General features: G+C 32.5%; 1 annotated feature.

Moving 5' to 3' along the window:
- Positions 850–1,019: an enhancer, noted in NCBI's record as "experimental_85427 CRE fragment used in MPRA reporter constructs". NCBI's record gives its function as "activates a minimal promoter by MPRAs in K562 erythroleukemia cells, with activity observed for the introgressed 5:43765827 variant allele {active_cell/tissue: K562}" and the evidence as "EXISTENCE:reporter gene assay evidence [ECO:0000049][PMID:34662402]".

Genomic DNA, 1,019 nt, shown 5'->3' with positions numbered 1-1,019 from the left:
GGCAGACTCAGAGACATTTCCCAGTAGATGGAAGAAAGTAGGTTCACCAGATGATAGAGAAATCTGGGATTCATAGAACAAGCAGCCTGTGTATCCATCCACCAATACTATGGTAAGTGTACTCAAGCCAGTGTCTTTCCTGGTTTGCTTCTTCCCTTCATCCTTATCGTTACTTGAAGGCACTTCGGTATTTATTTTAACTTAACTTCATCTGAATCAAGATACTGACAAGGCCAGTAGAGTCCATAGTTTTTCTTTTTAATATATCAAAGAATTATACAGCTTACTATTTGCCAAACATCACTCTAATCATTTAAAATACTATCTCATTTAATCCTCACATCAACTCTATAAGGTCAGAGCTATGATCTATTTGGTAATTGACTTATTTAAGTCACTTAACTAGAGGGCAGCAGAGTCAGGATTTGAACCCTAGCACTTTGATGCCACAGTCCATGTTTATAACAATGACTGTGCTGCCCTATGATGTCACATATATCTGACAGTGTGGAAAGGAAAACAAGATATTTTCTGCAACTCTTCTCTTTTTAACTAAAAAAGCTACTCATAAAAATTTTCAATTGAAAAAGGAAATAACAAAAAGTAATTGCTATTTTCTGTTTTAAAGCTTATCTAACACTGACAAAACTTAGCTTGAGGAGTAAAGTTGTATTTGAAAAAAATGAGTAAAATATTAATGGTTAATGTCATTGATTTAGGTTACAGCACAACTATTTGCCTATGATAATTTCACTTACATTGCTAATTTTAAAACCTGTTCCAGAAGGTGGTTTTATTTCAGAGGAACACCCATTTATAAGCCTTGTAATCTGTGGTTAATTTTTACAGAATTTCATTTACTCCAATTTCTCCAAACAAAATTAGGCTGGGTTTATGTTGTATATACATTTGATTGCATATAATTTAGAATACATGCACTCAATTTTCCTATTGTATCTAATATTATTTTATAGCAACTTTTCAGAACGTTCTGTACTATTGATAATTTGTTTTATACA

Source organism: Homo sapiens, chromosome 5, assembly GCF_000001405.40.
Source record: "Homo sapiens chromosome 5, GRCh38.p14 Primary Assembly".
In the NCBI taxonomy this organism is placed as follows: Eukaryota; Metazoa; Chordata; class Mammalia; order Primates; family Hominidae; genus Homo; species Homo sapiens.
This window is presented reverse-complemented; position numbering and strand designations above follow the sequence as displayed.